This window comes from Homo sapiens, chromosome 13, assembly GCF_000001405.40.
Source record: "Homo sapiens chromosome 13, GRCh38.p14 Primary Assembly".
Classification (NCBI taxonomy): Eukaryota; Metazoa; Chordata; class Mammalia; order Primates; family Hominidae; genus Homo; species Homo sapiens.
In genome coordinates this window covers 93,226,748-93,247,401 of record NC_000013.11, presented here as the reverse complement: position 1 = coordinate 93,247,401, position 20,654 = coordinate 93,226,748, and the positions used below count along the sequence as shown (strand labels likewise).

Sequence of the window (20,654 nt, the reverse complement as noted above, 5' to 3'; positions counted from 1 at the left end):
AATGGATCACCACATAGGAGTGTCCAGCAATCCTGCATTTTCAGATTGTTAGTACTTTAGAATTACAAGTTCCCATTTTCAAAATAGCAATCCTAAACTCTGCAAAAACATTTGTTAGGCCAACAGAAAACAGAGGTCAAAGATAATCTTAATTTGTTTATTGGTGATTTTTAATATAGCTTGTAGGTATCTAAAAGCGATCTCAAAAATTCTGTCTTCTAAAATCAGTTCATTAATATAAACATCTCTTTAAAGAATTAGGTATCTCCTAAGGGTACTGCAAAGATACTAGAATGGTTTTTGTTGCAAGTTAGTTTCCAGTAGTTGTTTCTTTCATAATAAAATGTTACATTATACTTAAAATTTTTGTTAAATATTTGGCTGTAAAAAAAAAAAGAAAAGAAAAAAGAGAACAAATTACCAGAAATTTTAAATGTCACAGTTTTTTAAGTTTGAAAAACTCCCAATCATGGAGATTTGGGGGGGAAATTAGGATAAGCAAACAGCTAAAAGACAATTTTTTTTTTCCAGGAAAAAATGTAAGGCCTGTCATTTAAAAATACCTATAATGTGTGCATAGTGGCTTTTTTTTTTTTTTTTTTTTTTTTTTTTGAGACAGTCTTGCTCTGCCGCCCAGGCCTGAATGCAGTGGCACAATCTCGGCTCACTGCAAGCTCCGCCTCTGGGGTTCACCTCCTGCCTCAACCTCCCTAGTAGCTGGGAATACAGGTGCCCACCACCACATCCGGCTAATTTTTTTGTATTTTTAGTAGAGACGAGGTTTCACCGTGTAAGCCAGGATGGTCTCAATCATAGTGGCTTTTGTTAAGTTCATTTCACAAGTGCTAGTGACTTTGAGTTATTCTCATCTATTAAGAAAATAGTAAATAAAAGTTATTTATTATTATTATTTTTTAGAACACTTCAAGGTGTTTTCTTTGCAAAGAAAATGGTTGCCTCAACATCACTGCAATCTTAAGAAAAAAAATACCTCTAGTTCCTTCAAATTCTGTGGAGAAGCACTGGCCCCTGCTAATCTCAGCTGTCCTGGGGGCACAAAGAGAGGAAGCCAATTGCTTGATAAACCTAAAACTATGATGTAAGGAGCAAACATGCAACTAGTAAAGCCTAGAGAGTGCAGGTGTGCATGCCCAGAATGTATTATGCTATATCTTTAATTCAATGTGTACAAAATGCAGAGTGACCAGCTCTAAATGTAGTCGCCTTGCATAACAGTCTAAAAGTCAGGGGAAATGGCTAGATCTGTGCCTGAGAGGCTAGGATAGGAAAAACAGCTCAAGGAGGAGGTTGGGGGGATGGAATTTCTCTTGACCAGAAATCTCAACAGGACCAAAAATTAATTAAGAGTCATAGGTACCAACAGAAGGCATACCATATTAGTAAGAAAAATAGGATCCTGTGGTGAAAGAAACCTGAAATGCCATTGCCCATTTCCCATTTAAAGCAATGTGGAGAGCCCATTCTACTTAGGAAGAAGAATCGTTGGCCTCTTTTGTTCCAGGCAGACATGGGATAGACTGCTCTGGTCCCATTCTGCTCTTTTCCTTAGTCCCCCTAGGGGCTCATGTAAACTTTTTAAAGTATGCGGGGAGATCTAAGTAGTACAACTTGTAGCAGTAACACACTTTGTGGGTGGAGATTCTCACCCACAACCAATGTAAAAAACAATACAAAAACCATTATCCAAAAGGTGACTGCCCACTCTGAAAGAAATCCATATTTAAAACCACAATGAATGGCAACCAGAGTATGAGCCCCAGAGACTCAAAGTATGATACCTGACCCAACAACATCAGCATCACCTGAGAACTTGTTAGAAACGCAAATTACAGACTCCAGGCCAGAACTACTACTGAATCAGAAAGTCTGGGAGGTGGAGCCCAGCCATTTGTGTTTTGCAAGCCTTTCGGTGATTCTGGTGCATAGTAAAGTTTAGGAAGCTCACTGCTCTACATCACTCATTCTCAATCCTGGGAGCACATCTAAATTAGGAAATTATGAAAGGAGGGAAAGAATGAAGGAAGGAAGGAGAGAAGAATAGAAGAAGGAAGGACTGTGCCCTTTCCCAAATCAATTAAATCAGAGTATCCAAAACTGAATAACGGTGCTCAAGTATAGATAATTTTCAGTGCCCCACATTATAGCCTAGAAGACTGTTAAATTTTAAGGAATTTTGTGAACTGGCTGTTAAACTGTTGGTAGCTTGAAATTGTTCATGGTGAGAACATTTATACCACAAAACTTACCAAATGCTATGAATCAGTGTCCCCTCCACACCCAGGCAGTTGTTAATACCTAATCAGTTCATCACTGGCCAGGGTTGAGAAATACTGGACTAAAGTGACAATGCCAAATACCTCATTAATTCAGACAGCCTCAGCAGTTTCTCTCAATTTCTCAATTACTACTCAATTTATTGGGATTCTTATTAAGATTATGAAGTTTTTTTTTTGAAGATGGCAGATTAGAGGCTTTGTTAGTGTGCGTCACCCTTTTGAAAAGAGCAAAATAGTATGTAGAGATTCACGCTGTGCACTTTTATCTAAGAAGGAACAGAGGAACTCAAGAGAAAAAGTGAAAGAAACTTTGGATACTGTGAAAGGAGCAGTAGGCAGCAGGCTGCACTGTGAGTCAGGCAGAAAACTTCAGTCTTTGGAGCGTGAAAGGGGAGAGACTGTCTCCTTCATACACATTCCCACTGGGGAGCCGCTTAATCCAGGCCATGGGGGAGCTCCTTAACCCTACCGGGTGCTAGAGCTGATTTGGGGAGCAGTGGGGAGAAGGAGCAGCATGGAGAAGTGCTTTGCATGCCCGCCCAGGCGCCAGGAGGGGCAGAAGGAAGACACTCCTAATCCAACTCACAGACGCCCACGTGAAAATCTGCTAGCTAACTCAGGAGATGGCCACAGGCTGAAAGAAGCTCCCAAGCGAGATTTGCAACCTAATCTTAAGCATAAAGCATGCTTCTGGCATGGACACAGGAGCCAGGTGCCCCTGCTTCGTGGGCCAAACTAGAAGGGGTGTGGCCTAAGAGCTGCGGTTTCTGTCTTGCGGGGGAAGTCTTGCAGTGTGTGGCAGTCTTGCACTGTGGGACCCAGCCGGCCCTTGCAGCTTTCTGCCAGCAGAAGTCTGTGGGTGTGAGATCTGCCTTGTCAAAGGCATGGGAGCTGGGTGGGTCTCATTGCCACCTGCTGCCCGGCTCCCAGCGTGGACTCTTTTATGCAGCGAAAGTGGTTCCATTCCTCTCTGAAACATTACCCCAGTGGCCAGGGAATTTCCCACTGACTCCCATCAGGGCTCCTGCTTGCACTCACACCTAGGGAGCCAAAGCACGGGACTGCCTGACCCAGCCCCCACCCAGCTTTTCCCCTCCACCCACCTTGGCAGCAGAACACAGACAGGGCCTTTTAGGAGTTCCACGGCCCTGCCCATCACCAGCAACATCTGAGTGCTTCCCCTGAATAACACAGGCCAAGCATCCCATGGCCACCCCAGCAGCTGGTTCTCTCCTACAAGCGCTACCTCCTGGCCCGACTTCACCCAGCACAGCCCATTACAACATCTTCTGACACAGTAACACAGTGCTTGTGAAGGAGAAAACTCTTCTTTGACCTCAGCTAACACCATTGTCCACACCACCCCAGCTACCCAGGAGGACTTGAGCCCGCTCACATGCCCAGTACATTGATGCTACAGCTGGCAAGTGAGAAAGCCACCAAACCACACCAAACAGCCTTATTTAGAAATCCTGAACAGACCAAGACAGACCTACAGAGCCCACACCACTCCCCTGCCACCCCCATCAGAGCTGGTGCTCGCACCTGCCACTGGGAGACCGGAGAGGACAGGTCAGCCTGGTCCAGCTCCACCCATATCACTTGTCTCTGGAGCTAAGAGCAAAGCCCAAGCTACTGCAAGTCCTGTAGACCAGTCCATGGCCTGAGGGATCAGAGGGCTTTTCTAGATGGCTGACTAGAGACATGGGTGAACAATTCCCTTCAGAACAACAACAACAAAAAAAACGAATTACAGGTGAATGTGAATAACCATAGCCTAAATGGAATGTTAAGGGGAGATTGTTGGAGCCCATTGGAAAGTTCATTGGAAGAATCTACAGCATACACAAAAATTAAGGAATCAAGAAGCTTGCAGAGATCAAATCAAGAGAGACTTAGTATTCTGTGGAAAGGGTAGGTGGGAATGCTCTTGGCATCTCTAGCCCTTGCAGCAGACTGCTGGTATCCAAACTCAAGGAGAGCTTTTTTGCCACCATGAGCCCAAGTACTGGAGCGGGCTGCGATCTGGGGACTTCTCGAGGGCATTATATTGGGCTACCATCTCGAACAGGGTCCCTTCCTGTTCCCCCGGTCCCAACCTGTAGTAGCAGGTGCCATACTGAGTGTGCACCCATTGCGAGACTTTGTTCTGCTCAGGGACTTCCAACCCTTGTGTCTTCACATCACAGGATCCCTTGTAGACATGCCTCAGTACCAACCTGGATTGTGGCAACCCCACATGGTGGCTAGACCCAGAGGAACAGCAGGATTCACGGTGGTCTGTTCCCCAGGGATTGTCATACCTAGGGAAAGGGGGAGTGCATCATACCAAGGGAGCACTCTGTGGGACAAAAGAAACAGAGTGCAGGCTTTTCTGTGTCCGTGAACTTGCTGCTTGTGGGCTAGGAGCAGCTGCAACTCTTTCAGCAGAGGGATGGGCACAGTGCTCAGCTGAGTGGGAAGACTACAATTCTTCCCCAGCGGTCGAGCAGCCCCAGTACTCATGAAGTGACGTAGAGGGGACTTCTCCCCCTCACCCACTGCTGCAGACACAGCCAGGATGTCTCCTGTAGGAGCTTGGCTTGGGTGCATCTGTAGATGGTCTTTATAGAGCATTTTGGGGTGACTGTGTCCCCACAGGATGTGTGTCCTCTGGGGTCAGGCTTGCAAGAGGAGTAGAGCCCTGCTCCCTCTCTACACAAAATGTCAGCATTCCTGAAGATGGAAAGATGCTTGTCTAATCTGAATATCCAGAACACTGGGACAGGAGGATGATAGGGAGTTGGGTTGTTTTTTGCCAGGCTTGTAGTAGAGCTGAGGTAGCACCCTTCCTTTCACCTATGAAGACCTCAGTGCATTTCATGGGAACTCCCTAGGCTACATCCATCAGGGCTGGGATGTGTGCTCACCATTGTGGTATTGCATATACCCACCTACCTTAGCCACAGCCAATTCTTACCCATGAACACCTCTAATTAAACTGAAGACTAAATTGTTCAACCCACTGAAAAAATACTGGGGAAAAAAGTACACATCAAGAGGAATAAAATAAGCTTCAGGAGACCTCTGCCATTCCAGCACCACAGGAGACAGTGGCCCTATTCACACACCCGCTACATTGCTACTAAAAGCACGACCTAAGAAAGCCATCAGACAAAATTCTGTATAACCAAGGAACTTACACAGAGTCTTTGCAACTGAAATTACCCAGACCCAAAGCTAGGGAATCATAAACTATACACATTATAGTTACATCCTCAAGGAGAAAAAAAAAACCCAGTTCAGTCAAAACTCAATTCAAAAATAATAAGAAGAAACAATTCTATCCAGATGAGAAGGAAGCAGAAAAATAATTCTGGCAATATGAAAAGCAGAGTTTTGCAATGCCCTCAAAAGATCACATTAACTCTTTAGCAATAAATCTAAACCAAAATGAAATCTTGGAAATACCAGATAAAGAATTCAAAATATTGATCATAAAGTTTCTGAATGAGATCCAAGAGGAAGTCAAAACCAACATAAAGAAATCAAGAAAACAACTCAAGATATGAATGAAAATTTTCCAAGGAGATAGATTTTAAAAAATCAAAAAATCAAAACAAAACAAAACACAGAACTTCTGGAAATGAAAGACTCATTTAGGGAGTTACAAAATGCAGTGAAAAGTTTTACCAAGAGACTAGACCAAGCAAAAGAAATAATTTCAGAGCTTGGATATAAGGCTTTTGGGTTTACCCAACCGAACAAAAACAAAGAAAAAAGAATCAAAAGAAATGAATACAGTCTCCAACAAATATGGGATTCTCTAAAACATCCAAACCCTATAATCATAGGTATTCCTGAAGGAGAAGAAGAAAAAGTAAAAAGTTTGGAAAACCTATTTGAGGGAATATTTGAGGCAAACTTGTCTGGTCTTGATAGAAATTTAAACATCCAGACACAAGAGTCTCAAAGAACTCTGGGAGATTCATTGCAAAAAGAATATCAGTAAGGCATGTAATCATCAGGTTATCTAAAGTCAACATGAAAGAAATAATTCTAAGACTAGTGAGACAAAGGCATCAAAACTTATAAAGGAAAATCTGTCAGACTAATGGCAGACTTCCCAGCAAAAAACTCACAAGCCAGAGGGGACTGGAATCCTATCTTTAGTCTTCTTAAACAGAGTAATGGTCACCAAGAATTTTGTATGGTGCAAAACTTAGTTTCATAAATGAGGGAGAAATAAGGTCTCTCCCAGTAAAGCAAACTCGGAGAGAATCTGTCACCACTAGACTGGACCTATAAGAAATGCTCAAAGGAATTCTAAACATCAGAATGAAAGTTCTATACGCAACAGTATAAAAAACATTCAAAAGTATAAAACTCACTGCTTATAAAATAGTAACATGATGGAGAATACAAAACAACTAGGTAGTAATCAACATGATGACTGGAATAGTATTTAATATATTACTATTAACTTGGAATATAAATGATCTAAATGCTCCACTTAAAACATAAGATTAGTGGAATTAATTTAATAAGCACAATCTAAGTATATGTTGCCTTCAAGAGACCCACTTAACTTGTAAAGATTCTTATAGACTCAAGGTAAAGGAGTGGAACAAAATATTCCACACAAATGGCATCCAAAAATGAGCAGCACTGGTCATTCTTATATCAGATAAATCAGACATTAAATCAACAAAAGTAAATAAATAAATAAATAATAAAAAGACATAGAAGGTCATTATATAATGATAGTTGGTCAACTCAACAAGAAGAGATAACAACCTTAAATAAACATACACCTAACACCAGAGCTTCCGGATTTGTAAAACAAATACTAATAGATTCCATAAAAGAGAAATACAGCAATACAGTCATAGTGGGGGACTTCAACACAACACTAGCTAGATCATTGAGGCAGAAAGTCAACAAAGGAACACTGGCCATAAACTGGATTCTAGGACAAATGGACCTAACAGAGGCTTACAGACCATTCTACACCAAACTAGAGAATATACATTCTTGTCATAAGCACATGGAATAGTTTCCAAGATAGACCATACAATAGGCCACAAAACAAGTTCCAATAAATTTTTAAAAAGAAAAATCATATCAGGCATCTTCTCAGACTGCAGCAGAATAAACCTAAAAATCAATTCCAAGAGGGATTCCCAAAACTATACAAATATGTGGAAATTAAATTATCTGCTCCTGAAGGACTTTTAGGTCAATGACAAAATCAACATTAAAATTAATAATTTTTTCAAAATGAATGATGACAGTGACACAAGTTATCAAAATCTCTGGGATACTGTAAAAGCAGTACTAACAGGAAAGCTTATAGCACTAAATGTCTACATCAAAAAAGACAAAAAGATCACAAATTGACAACCAATGTCACACCTCAAGGAGCTAGAAAAACAAGACAAACCAAACCCAAAGGTAGCAGAAAAGAAATAACAAATATCAGACCAGAACTAAACAAAACCGAAACTGAAAAAAAAATACAAAGATCAATGAAATGAAAAGTTGGTTCTTCGAAAAGATAAAATTGATAAATCACTAGCTAGATTAACCAGGAAAACAATAGAGAAGATTCAAATAAGCTCAATCAGAAATAAACATAGAAACATTACAACTGATACCACAGAAATACAAAAAATGATCTGAGATGATCTTTTGTATTTCTGTGGTATCAGTTGTAATGTCTCCATTTTCATGGATCTGATGTTCTATGAACATCTCTAAGCACACAAACTAGAAAATCTAGAGTAAATGAATAAATTTCTGGAAACACAAAACCCCAAGCTTGAATCAGAAAGAAATAGAAATCCTGAACAGACAAATAACAAGTAGTGAGATCAAATCAGTAATTTAAAAAATTTTCCAACAACATGAAGCCCAGGACCAGCTAGGTTCATGCTGAATGTGACCAGACATTAAAAGAAGTGATACCAATCCTACCAAAACTATTTCAAAAGATTGAGAAGGAGGAAATCCTAACTCATCCTATGAAGCCAGTATCACCCTGATACCCAAGTCAGGAAAGACACGACAAAAAAATAAAACTGTGGGCTGAGATCTCTGATGAACATAGATGCAAAAGTCCTCAACAAAACATAGCAAACCAAATACTATAGCACAACAAAAGGATAATTTGCCAGGATCAACTAAGCTTCATTTCAGGAATGCAAGGATGGTTCAACATATGCAAGTCAACAAATGTAATTCACCACATAAACAGAATTAATAACAAAAGCTATATGGTCATTTTAGCAGATGAAGAAAAAGCATTTAATAAAATTCAGCATCACTTCATGATAAAAAACCCCCAAGAAACTAGGCATAGAAGGAGCATACTTCAAAATAATAAAAGCCATATATGACACACCCACAGTGAACATCATACTGAAGGGGAAAAGTTGAAAGCATCCCCCCATAAGAACATTTCCCTTAATAAGTGGAACAAGACAAGGATGCCCACTTTCACTACTTCTATTGAACACATACTGGAAGTCCTAGCCAGAGCAACTATCCAAAAGAAAGAAATAAAAGGCATTCCAGTTAGAAAAGAGGAAGTCAAACTATGTTTGCCAATGATATGTTCCTATACCTAAAAAAACCCTAAAGACTCCTCCAAAAGACTACTGGATTTTGTAAATGAACTCAGTAATATCTCAGGTTACAAGGCCAACCCATGCAAATCAGTGGCACTGCTATATACCAATAATGACCAAGCTTAGAATCAAATCAAGAATTCCATCCCATTTACAATAGCTGCAAAACAATAAAATTTTTATTTTAAAGTATAAGGAATATATTTAACCAAGGATGTGAGAGATCTCTACAAGGAGAGCTACAAAACGCTGAGGAAAGAAACTGTAGATCACACAAACAAATGGAAAAACACCCCATGCTTATGGATTGGAAGAATCAATACTGTGAAAATGACCATACTGCCAAAAGCATTCTACAGATTCAATGCAATTTCTATCAATATACCAATATCGTTTTTCACAGAGTTAGAAAAAGCAATCCCAAAATTCATATGGAACCACAAAGAGCCCGAGTAGCCAAAGCAATCCTAAGCAAAAAGAACAAAGCTGAAGGCATCACATCACCCAACTTCAAATTATACTACAATGCTATAGTAGCCCAAATAGCATGGTAATAGTGTAAAAATAGACACATAGACCAATAGAACAGAATAGAGAACCCAGAAATAAAGCCTAATCCCTACAACCAACGAATCTTTGACAAAGCAGACAAAAACATACACTGGGGAAAGTACACCCTATTCAACAAATGGTCCTGAGAAAACTGTCTAGTCACATGCACAAGAATAAAACTGGATCCCTATCTCTCACCATATGAAAAAATAACTTAAGATGAATTAAAGACTTAATTGTAAGACCTGAAACCATTAAAATTATAGAATGAAACCTAAGAAAAACTCTTCTGGACATTGGCCTAGGCAAAGAATTTATGACTAAGACTCCAAAAGCAAATGAAATAAAAACAAAAATACATAAGTTAGACTTAATTAATCTAGCAAGCTTCTGCATAGCAAAGGAAATAATCAAAAGAGTAAACAAACTACAGAATGAAAGAAAAGATTTGCAAACTATGCATCTGACAAAGGACTAATATCTATAATCTACAAGGATCTCAAACAAGTCAGCAAGAATAAAATGAATAATCGCATTAAAAAGTGTGTAAATGACATGAAGAGACGTTTTTCAAAAGAAGACACACAAATGGGCAAAAATGTGAAAAAAATGCTTAACATTACTAATTATCATGGAAATGAAAATTAAAACTACAATGAGATACCACCTTATCCTAGTCAGAATGGCCATTATTTAAAAAATCAAAAAACAATAGATGTTGATGTAGATGTGGTGAAGAGGGAATGCTTATATACTGTTGGTGGGAACGTAAATTAGTGCAACTTCTACGGAAAACAGCATGGAAATTTCTCAAAGGACTAAAAGTAGATCTACCATTCAATCCAGCAATCCCACTATTGGGTTTATCTAGTCAAAGGAAGAGAAGTCATTTTATCAAAAAGACAACTACACTCATATATTTATCACAACACAACTCACAATTGCAAACAGGGAATTCTACCTAAGTGCCCATGAAACAATAAGTGGATAAAAAGAATTTGGAATATATATACTATGGAATACTACTCAGCCCTAAAAAAATGAAATCATGTCTTTTGCAGTAACTTGGATGGAATTGGAGGCCATTATCCTAAATGAAGTGACTCAGGAATAGAAAACCAAATACCACGTTTTCACTAATAAGTGGGAGATAAGTATGCATACACAGGGGCACATAGAGTGGTATAATGCAGCAGTCCCCAACCTTTTTGGCACCAGGGAATGGTTTCATAAAAGACAGTTTTTCCATGGATTGGTGGGGATGGTTTGGATATGAAACTGTTTCACCTCAGACCATCAGGCATTAGATTCTCATAATGAGCACGCAACCTACATCCCTCGCATGCACAGTTCACGATAGATTTCATGCTCCTATGAAAAGCTAATGCCGCTGCTGATTCGACAGGAGGCAGAGCGCAGGCAGTGATGTTCACTTGCCTACTGTTACCTCCTGCTGTATGGCCCAGTCACTAACAGGCCACACACCATTACCAGTCCATGGCCTGGGGGTTGGGGATCCCTGGTATAATAGACACCGGAGACTAAGAAGTAGGGAGGGTGGGAAGAGGGTGAGGGATGAAAAATTTGCTCTTGGGTTCAATGAACACTATTTGGGTGACAGGTACGCTAAAAGCTCAGAATTCACTACTATATAATTCATCCATGTAACCAACAACCACTTGTACTCCTAAAGCTATTGAAATTTAAAAGAATAACAAAAAAAAGGATAATGAAGATTAGCTAAGCCATGCTATGATCATCAGCTCCCATCTGAGGGTCCAGCTGAAAGACCATATCCTTTGCCTTCCCTTCTAGGTACAGGCATAGGAGGCAATTCTAAAATGAGAAGGGTGGGCATCTCTGCTGGGGGACTGTTGAGAGTTGTCTGCCTCATCAAGGAAGAGACATGTGGGAAGAAATCATTTCTTTCTGTGCCTCTAGGCATTGTCATGAGGCCTTAGCTCCTGGAACTCTAGCCATCATCTTGTGTTTATTTGGAGGTGATCTGGTGGAACAAGGATCTGAGAGCCAAAAGACAGAGAGAACCTGGCACCCTGTTGATACTGCAAGCTTACAGCTTTCTCACTCCTGCAAGACTCTGCACTGGGACTTCTTGTTATGTGAAATAACGGCTTGCCCTGACTATGTAAGCCAGTTGAGTCAGGAATTTCTGTGACCTGCTGCCAAAAGTATCTTAACTGACACAGACTACTTGAGTTGAGAGTTTCAACAGCTCATCCTCTAAACTCTTTTATTGGAATTTCTAAGCAGCAGAGTGAAGTTTTTAATTTTTTAAAATTTTCCCTTTTAATCTTGTTTCTTCCTTCTCTCATGGCCTTATTCACCCCTTCTTCACTCCTCTCATCCTCCTCTGAGACCTTGGCAATCTCCTGCCTAAGCCTCTAAAATTTAAGTGTCTCCTAGCTGTCCTTCTTCCCTCCCCAGGGGCCTTTAATGATCTTTTCTCTAATCCATCCTGTGATACTGCTTGCCTAATCCAAAACAATACTTTCGTCATGTCACCTCTCTGCCAAGAACCTGAGATGATGACCTACTTTCTGTCATATAAAGCCTAGAATTTTCAAGGCCCTCCAAAAATCCAATCCCACCCTATCTATTCAATATCAGATTCCTTTCTGTGCTCTCCTCTGCACACCCTATTTTGCTCACATATTTAATTACTCCCTAACTGCCTCCTTCTTTCATGGCCCTTTGTCAAATGCTACCCATCCTTCAAGGCTCCAATTAAATTTTGCCTCCTCCTTTCAGCTTCAACCTCTCGTTGTTATTATAATCAGTAATGATATTTGGTACTTAGATTAAAACAATGCTATGTCAGTAGCTTAAGTACCAAATATCATTACTGATGGAAATTATGGCACAATTTGATTAATTCTCCATTAGGGTAAAAAATTTGAAGTTTTTTTTTCACTGACAGAGCAGAAAGTACTGTGACTTAAATTTCATAGTGAATTGTAGCTGATTACATGTATTTTGATAGTTCTACACTTTTGAGAGTTAGCAATTCATCTGATCCTATTTGAGAAATCTCTTTCTCTCAGTGACACTGATACTGTTAATAGTCTTCTGCTGGTTTAATGATATTGAGTTTTGTCTCCATTATGAAGCACACAAAAACTATGCTAAAGTATTTTTATTGCCATGGTAATTCAATTAACATTTCTGGGACACTTACTTCTCTCTTCTCTCTCTTCCTTCCCTCTCTCTCTCTTGCACTCTCTCTCTCTCTCTCTCTCACACACACACATACACAAACACACAACCCAGTCCTTATTCATTGTCAGTCACATAGTAGATGCTAAGTAAGTAACTTTGATCCATTTCACCTACTAAGTATTTCTTGAATCCTTCCTATTTCCATGGTCACCACTCTAGTCCTAGCTAGCCTCTCCTCCTTTTCCTGTATCTGTTTTTTCCCCTCAATCCTTTCTCTATAGAGCAACCAATGTAATATTTCAAAACTGTATCCAATCCTGATTAAAACACTTATTCAACAGCTTGTTAAGGGACTCAGGCTAAAGGCCAAAGTCACTGTAGTGAGTTTGAGGGATGTCAGGACTGATGGGGGTGGGGGAGGACGACATGACCCCCAGGTGGCAGTAGCACACAGTGAGCTTAATTTGGAAGACACTTTGGTTGCACGTGAAGGAAAGTCCCTCACAGCATGAGACCTTGCAGGGCTAACAAACGGGCCACCACCCAAAAGGGCAGAAGGTCAAGGAACTCCCAGGGGAGAAGGGCATTATGACCCAGGCAATGTCATCAGCAACAGGGTAGACAGCCTCAGGGCCAGAGAGCTGCTAAGGGCTGCAGCAGCTAGGAGTCTTTGATCACCCCAGGGTTGTCTTACATATGGCTAGCAGACAGGTACAGTTTTACAGAGTGCACAAGGCAAACATGCTCTAAATGGTTAAAAATCTGCTTCTTTGTGCTATATTTGAAACAACTGGATGTGTAGAAACTTGACTTTAGCACTACTGGGCTTTTTAACTAAAGGTTCAGGTCTGCTGTGAAAAAGGGAACAACTTACGGTCAAGAAGCAGGGGTTACCTTTGGATTCTTTCCGTCTATGTAAGTCATTAACCTGACCTTTGGGCCCCCTTCTCCAGTCTCCCACACCCCTCTCCCCACTCACTGACCAGTCTCCCCAGGGACTGGAACCCTCCTCATGTTTGCAGGGTATTCTCACCACACAGGAAATTTGTGCCCCTTCCACACTCCTGCTTCCTTACTGAAGGGCGCCCATGCTTCAGAACCCATTATTCTGCCTCTGATTTGATCAAATGCTCCTATAAAATGCTTTCACAGTGCCAGGTGTCCTTAGTGCTATGCATTTATCTCAGTTGGAATTAATTCATTGTGAATGGTGTCCTTAATTTCTGCTTCCCTGCTGGGATTCAAATTCCCTGGGGTTCTACCCCCAGAACCTGGTACAATGACTTACCCATAGTAGGTATACAATAAATACTCATTGCATGAAGAAAAAAATGCCTAGAAGAAAGAGAGAATGGGTTATTAAAATACCCAATAACCTGAATAATGTGAAAGTGTGAAACCAAATTTTGATTTTTTTTTTTTTGGCTACTAACTGGCACATTCATTTAAAACATATTTTTCATCCACGGTTATTAAAAATTCTTAGATATTTTCATCCAGGATTATTAGAATTTTAAAATATTTACCCAAGTCTCACCACTATGGAACCCTTTATTACAAATATATGATCCCAGGGAGTCAATAGTACTTTCAAACTGTACTATATATATCATTGAAAATTGAATAATACTGGAGAAATCTATGAAAATATTTAAAGTTAAATTATGTACCAGCTCAAGAATTTAACATAGCAGAATTTAGTCTGTAAAGAAATAAAATCACCAAGTTTAAAAGAATATTAAATCACTGTTTATACTGGCAAGATAAATCTAAATCACCTTACTGGCCTTTCTAGAAGTAATTTGAAAGATGTGAATTAAGTGGGGGTAAAGGTTGTTCTTATACTGTTATTTTTGTGGGTTTCAATATAAGATCAAAAGATTAAAATCATTTTTAAAGCAATTAATTTATTATAATGTTTACCCTAAACTCAGATTTCTATACAAAACTAGTGATTGAAGTTAGGTCATTTTAGGTTAGAACTACTCAATAATTTTGTGTTTTATAAGTGTTCGTAAATTTCATCCATAATTTTAAAAGAACACTAGTCACTTTCTTACATAATTTATGGCACAATCTTTATGCCATAATACTTAAAGAACATAATGCTGTACATTTTAAATCAATTTTGACAGTGGCCTATATTTCTACTCACAAGCTATTATTAAGATACAATGCAGTTGAGAGATATTTTATGTAAAAAAGTATATCAGTCAACTCAAATGAACTCTTGTTCCCAATGATGACATATTATCCTCTAATTAAATCAGCTAAGATAACTCACAATCGCTCTAAAATTAATGCCCAAATCAAGAGTTTAACAAGTGACGCTTCTAATAGCCCAACTTTTAGATTGCTTTGATACCTGGAATTAATGTGATTCTTTTAGAAATCTAGTGACTTGTAGAATCATTACAAAAACAAAAATTGAAGTTCACCTCACTCATTTGTGACTTACACTGTCCTTCCAAAAACTTTTAAAGAAATCAGCTAACTAAACAGGGGGCAAAGAAATAAGAAATCTTTGAACCAGGCAGATAAACAGAAATTAAACAATTTATCTCAAACTACGATATTTACTGTGGCTTTAAAGAGTAAGAGTTACCAAACACTGTTTTCCATTTAAGTTAATGTGATATCTCCATGGAAACTGGAAAAAAAAAAAAAAGTTGTGTAAATTGTAAATGTATTAAATTAGTTGGTTTGCCGGGGGAGCAGACAGAAAGACAGGTTTCCAGAGAAAGGAAACGCCCACTGGGCAAAGATCAGTGAAAAGGAAACATTATGTATTTTGAAACAAGCAAATAATCTTTTTAAACTGTAGATTTTTAGATAAATACTTGATAAATTAATATCAAATAGATGAAGACTTTAGTGCTTTTTTAATATCCAGCTGTAACCCAACTCTCAAAATACCTGGGACAGAAAAAGTTGCAAAATAAATACTGAAAACAGAGCTAGTTACATTTTTTTTTCTAATCTGTGGAGATAAATGTTCTTACTCCCTCTAGCCCCATGAATAACTTTCCAGCATGAGCTTTGTTGGACTAACCCAATATTTCAATAGGCCTAGTATACTGAAAGAAACCAAGACATGTACTTTAGTTTCTGTGTTTTATGTAACTATATCTTGCCAGAAAACGTTCAGAAAAAGGCATAAACGCATGAACCATTTAATGGTGGTAGCATGGCCAATTCCTGAGAATACAAAATCCAAAGTCAAAGTGATATTGAGAATTAGAGACGTTGGAACAAAATAGAAACGTATTTAGCATGCAAAACTGGAAGGGATACATATATGTATATAGTGATTAATAATACCAGACTATATATATATATATACGTATATATATATATATATATATATATACATATATATATATATATGTATATATATATATATATACGTATATATATATATGTATATATATATATACGTATATATATATATATGAAATGAGGAAAGAATAGATTTTGCATGCATTCATTCAAAATAAATGGTGAATGTTTAATACTGTAAGGCAGTGAGCCAAGTTAGGTATATAGACCCTGGAGTCAGAGTGCCTGGGTTTGAACTGCAGCCTCATTACTTACTAGTAGAGTCACCCTTAGGTAAGTTTATTAAAGTTCCTGTCACACAGCCTTTTTATCTATAAAATGGGGTTAATGTGTAGTATCTACTAAGTTATTGGAAGAATTCAGTAAGGTGATATTATAAAGGTAATAATTTTTAAGTAGGTGATGGGCACATAGTAAATTCTATATAAGAGATTGTTAAATAATGTCACATTACATAAGTAATGAAAACATGATCATGTAGGCCAATAAGTCACTGTTAACTACAAAGTGTTATAATTAATGATCCTAGCAAGACTCAAGGCATAAAACAGTGGCAGAGTAAGCCTGAAACAACATTCTCTGAATTTCCCAGAGTTTTAAGCAGGTGCTATTTTCAGTGGTAGAGTTCCTTTAGAAGTTTAGAGCCACCAACATGAGGAGGATTGGAAACTTAGGTCATAATTCTGATGAATGAGGAAAGACTAGAATGTTTCACACTGACCTTTGATGAGAGTAACTCTCCTAACAAAGAACCTGATGATTCACTGCTCAGTATCTTCCCAGAGGATAGAACAAGAAAAAATAAGCAAGCATATTGTGAAGGCTTTTGGCTAGATATCTGGAAACATTTCTATACCACAAGAATTGCTAAATATTAGAATGGATTGCTGAAAGGGGATCAAGAGTCTACTCCTTTGGAAGTTTTTCAAACAAGGATAAATAGTCTATCTGATCTCCTTGCCATGGTTTAAAATCAGTGCTGAGTGAAAACTGATGGTGCAAACTGCCCCTTGAAGGCCTCCTCCTTCCCAAGCATTCTCTGAAAGCATAACTTTATATATTACCTGTGATACTTCCTCATCTGTTGGGTTTCCATTCTATCCTAGAATAGAAAAGGGCAACACTATTTCACAATTGTGAGTTCTGAGTAAAACTTTGATAATGTCATGATGAAACATAATGTCCTTATTACTTCTCAAGTTATTTCACTAAGCAAGCTACCTGCAAATAGCTTTCAATTAGAAACAGCTGTCATGAATCTGAAGTCTGAACAGCAATTCTTTTAAATTTATGTGCCCTGGCAGATTGAAGACACATGAAATTCTTCAAGCAAACCATTAGATGCCCAATCAAGGCAAAGGATAAAAAAGAGTTTAAGAAAAGATAACCACTTACACTAGATAATTAAATGTAAACAGTATCAAGAACTAGGGAGGAGAGATAGAGTGTGTTCCTGTAACAACAGGGTATATTTCCTAAGTGATTATTAAAACAGCAATAGGTAGCATTAAGTAAAGTTGATTTTGAAAAAACAAGTATATCCTTAAAAAACACAATTATCTTTCAATTCATTATTTTCCTATTAAATGTGCCTCTGACCCTGTGGTGACCTGCATCTTGATTATGTCTACCAGCATCAAAGGACACAAGGCTTAAAGCAAAGTTAACAGTATGCCCTTACTCATGGAAAGTAGGTGAGTTTAAAAAAAAAAAAGTGCACACATTTTAGAAATTCATAGCTAATAAGCAAACACTGTAATTGTAAAAAGGTGGGGAGGAAACCAAAAACAAAAACAAAAACCTCTTTAGTTAAATATCCACCGAAGAATTTACATGAACCCCTGGGAATGTTCTCAACAAACATTCATGGTGACTACAGAAATTGTTTTACACTGAAAATCTTCACTTTGATATTAAAGAGATGTGCCTGATGCTGAGGATGAACTCTAGTCTCCTGAGAGTCCCATTATCCTCTAAAGAATACCGAAGCAATTTAAAAATACCTAACTATTTTCTTCTTTGAGACATCTTATCTGAAATCATGTTGGGAAATATCTTGTGTGCTTAAAAGATACCGTTTGAAAAAGCCCAGATTAAAGGAGAAAAAGTTCCTAGAAGAAGTGATCCATACTATAAACCTTTTAAAAAGTTGAATTCCCTGAGATTTGGGGAGGGAAAAAAAAAAGCGAAGCTGATCCTTATCAATTAATTAAAAAGAATGAAATAACAGTAGACAAAGGAGAAGGAGAGTTAAGAAACTTAAGGAGCTGTGGGGACAGTCGCTCTCTATTCATTGATTAACAAATTAAGGAGTTCTGGAAAAGAAGGAAGAAGTAACAAGGATAGAAAAGTAGGCTTATAATTCACCACAGATTCTAACTTAGACTCAGCAAAGGGAATGTCTGGCTCTGAACTGAAAAAGCTCCTTCTATATAATGAGCGTGGTAATTTGCGCCTCTTTTTTTCCCCCTTTGCCAATGCTCAAATTTATTTAAATGTGTTCATTTCAGTGTAAGTAAAAACCCTCACTTCTACAGCTTGAAAATCATAAGAAAATAGTAATTCCTCAACGTATCGAAACTGTGATGTTCTAAGATATCTGCAAAATGCTTTTCATCCATCCACCAGTTATTTGGCAAAAAGCAGACAGAGGCTGGTGGAAATTCAGCGTTTTGACTTGACGATCTGAGGTCACTAAGGACTTCAGCTGCCCGGTTTGAGCAGCCCGCGCCCTCGCAGCATCTCCTGGCCTCCCTCGGCCTCTCTCAGTTCTGTTCTTTAGCAGCCAAAGGATTATCTCTCCCCGACACGTTTCATTCACAGAGCCCCAGAGAAGCTCGGATTCGGTTGGAGCTAAGAGCCGGAAAACAAGCACCCAGACTGCCGCGCAAGTTGTCGGAGACCAAGTGCTACACACACTGGCGCCGAGAGAAAGGGTGGGCGCTCTCAAGCTCTTGGTGGAGCAATGCCAGTGGCCGGGCATGCGGGGGACACGGGGCCCCCGAACCCGGACCCGAATCCCCAGCTGAGCCACCCGCTAAAGTTGGCTGTTCGCTGGCAGACGAGGCCGGCTCCAGACCGGGTGGCAGGGTGTCCCCGGGCCCTGAGTGGCCAACAGCAACTGGGGAAGCACTGAGGAACCCTAACGGGAAAGCCCGCCCCACATCTGAAACAGGCAGCCCGTGAAGTCCCCAAACCAGCCTTGAAACGCCGGCGTCCAGAGGCCAGGTCCCCGGCGAGGGTCCCTCCCAGCCTTGCCCGCCCCCGGCCCGAGCGCCGGGCGCTCTGTCGCCCGAAGGACGGATAGGGGAGAGAGGGGCTGGGGGAGCCCTCCGCGTCTCTCCACCGCCCCTGCCGGCGCAAGGGCGGGAGTGGAGAAGGCGCCACTCAGACTGTGGCGCTGGGCAAACTGCGGTCGCAGTTCTTCCAAGTTTGCCCGAACCAGAACGCGGAGTGAGCGCCCGGCTCGGCTCTCCGTCTGCGCCTTGCAGCCGCCCCGGAGTGACCCGGGCTCCCTGGCCAGCCGGGCCTGAGCCATCAACTAAGGGGTAGAAGGGCGCGAGAGCAGCGGGAGGCGGGAGCCAGGGTGCTCCCGCGTGTGCACACAATGAGGCGGCGGAGACGCACACCTTCCCCCGCCGAAGAAGCCGCAGGAGCATCCGCCGCCCAACACGGAGACGCGGAGTCCCATAGCGGTGGCAGAAAGTGAGCACCAACTCAGCAACAGGGGGAAGGAAGGGGACGCCGGGCGGCCAGTGGGACGTGCGGCAGCCGAGGGCTGCAGCCTGCCCCTGCAGCGCGCCCGCGCTTACCTGCGATCTCCTGGTAGGGGATGTCCGCCAGGCTGAATCCCTTGGCACCGTACGCCTGGCGGACCTCTCCGCAGCTCCGAGCCTTCACATCCGCCCCGGCGGGGAGGGAGAGCAGCAGCCCCAAGAGGGGAAGAATCACAGCCCCGATCCAAGAAGGCATGGTGCAACATACAAATCCAGCTCGGTAAACCCCACGGCCGGTGCGCTCTTCACCTTGCCCCTCAAGCCGAAAGCCCGCCAGAGGCAGCGGCGCGCTCCTCGCCGCTGCCCAGCGTCACCCCCTTCTGCCAGCCGAGGGGACGAGCAGCGCAGCCCTCTGGACTGCGCTCAGCAAACTTTTATAAGCCAGATGGACGATGGCAAGCCAACAAGGGCTGGCTGGGAAGGCTGCTGCCTTGCTCCTCTAGCCCCCAGATGGAAACGGTGCAATCAAAACGAGGAAGAGAAGGAAAAGAAGTGTTTAAAAAACCACCATGGGGGTTCAGAGCTGCAATCCGAGTTCCGAGCCGCAGAATCCTGGAGCGCTGCGGGCTCGGCTCGCCGGAGTGTGCGGCAAAGGTGGGAGCGCGCGCCGGCTCCCCCGGGAGGGAGATGGACAAGCGAGAGCGAGTGTGTATGCGCGCGTGTGTCTGTTGGTGTGAGCTCGAGGTTCTTGGGGATGTGTGTGCGTGGAGGTATGTGTTGGGGATATACGAGATCTAGGGGAAACCTCAGCTTAACACAGGCTGTGGGAGCCTGTGAGAGTCCTCCTGAAATAGGAAGAGAGAAATCCTGGAGACAGTCACTGGAGGCAAGAGGGAAGGAGAAAGGAGGGGGGAGAAAGAAACGTGCTACACATTGCACAGCCGAAATTCACAGGCCGAGTCAAA

The 20,654-nt window shown here is 40.9% G+C and overlaps 1 protein-coding gene across 2 annotated transcripts in view, besides 3 other annotated features; it reads right to left on the bottom strand.

The window, feature by feature from the left end:
- GPC6 (glypican 6) overlaps nt 1–20,654 on the bottom strand; it is a 1,191,492-nt gene that overhangs the window by 1,160,619 nt on the left and 10,219 nt on the right. Inside the window, exon 1 of one of the 2 annotated variants that reach the window (NM_005708.5) lies at nt 19,786–20,595. The exons of the other annotated variant lie outside the window; for it this stretch is intronic. Within the exon in view, the coding sequence (NP_005699.1) occupies nt 19,786–19,945 (160 nt within the window). The 5' untranslated portion in view covers nt 19,946–20,595. Of the gene's footprint in view, nt 1–19,785; nt 20,596–20,654 lie in introns of those variants that run through there. 2 annotated transcript variants of the gene reach the window in all.
- Nucleotides 3,151–3,963: an enhancer, noted in NCBI's record as "H3K27ac-H3K4me1 hESC enhancer chr13:93895692-93896504 (GRCh37/hg19 assembly coordinates)". NCBI's record gives its function as "activates a minimal SCP1, AML or CMV promoter by ChIP-STARR-seq in naive H9 embryonic stem cells {active_cell/tissue: H9 hESC(naive)}" and the evidence as "EXISTENCE:reporter gene assay evidence [ECO:0000049][PMID:30033119]".
- Nucleotides 18,812–19,106: a silencer, noted in NCBI's record as "tiled region #9831; K562 Repressive non-DNase unmatched - State 25:Art". NCBI's record gives its function as "represses a minimal TATA promoter and a strong SV40 promoter by Sharpr-MPRA in K562 cells {active_cell/tissue: K562}" and the evidence as "EXISTENCE:reporter gene assay evidence [ECO:0000049][PMID:27701403]".
- Nucleotides 19,160–20,002: an enhancer, noted in NCBI's record as "H3K27ac hESC enhancer chr13:93879653-93880495 (GRCh37/hg19 assembly coordinates)". NCBI's record gives its function as "activates a minimal SCP1, AML or CMV promoter by ChIP-STARR-seq in naive H9 embryonic stem cells {active_cell/tissue: H9 hESC(naive)}" and the evidence as "EXISTENCE:reporter gene assay evidence [ECO:0000049][PMID:30033119]".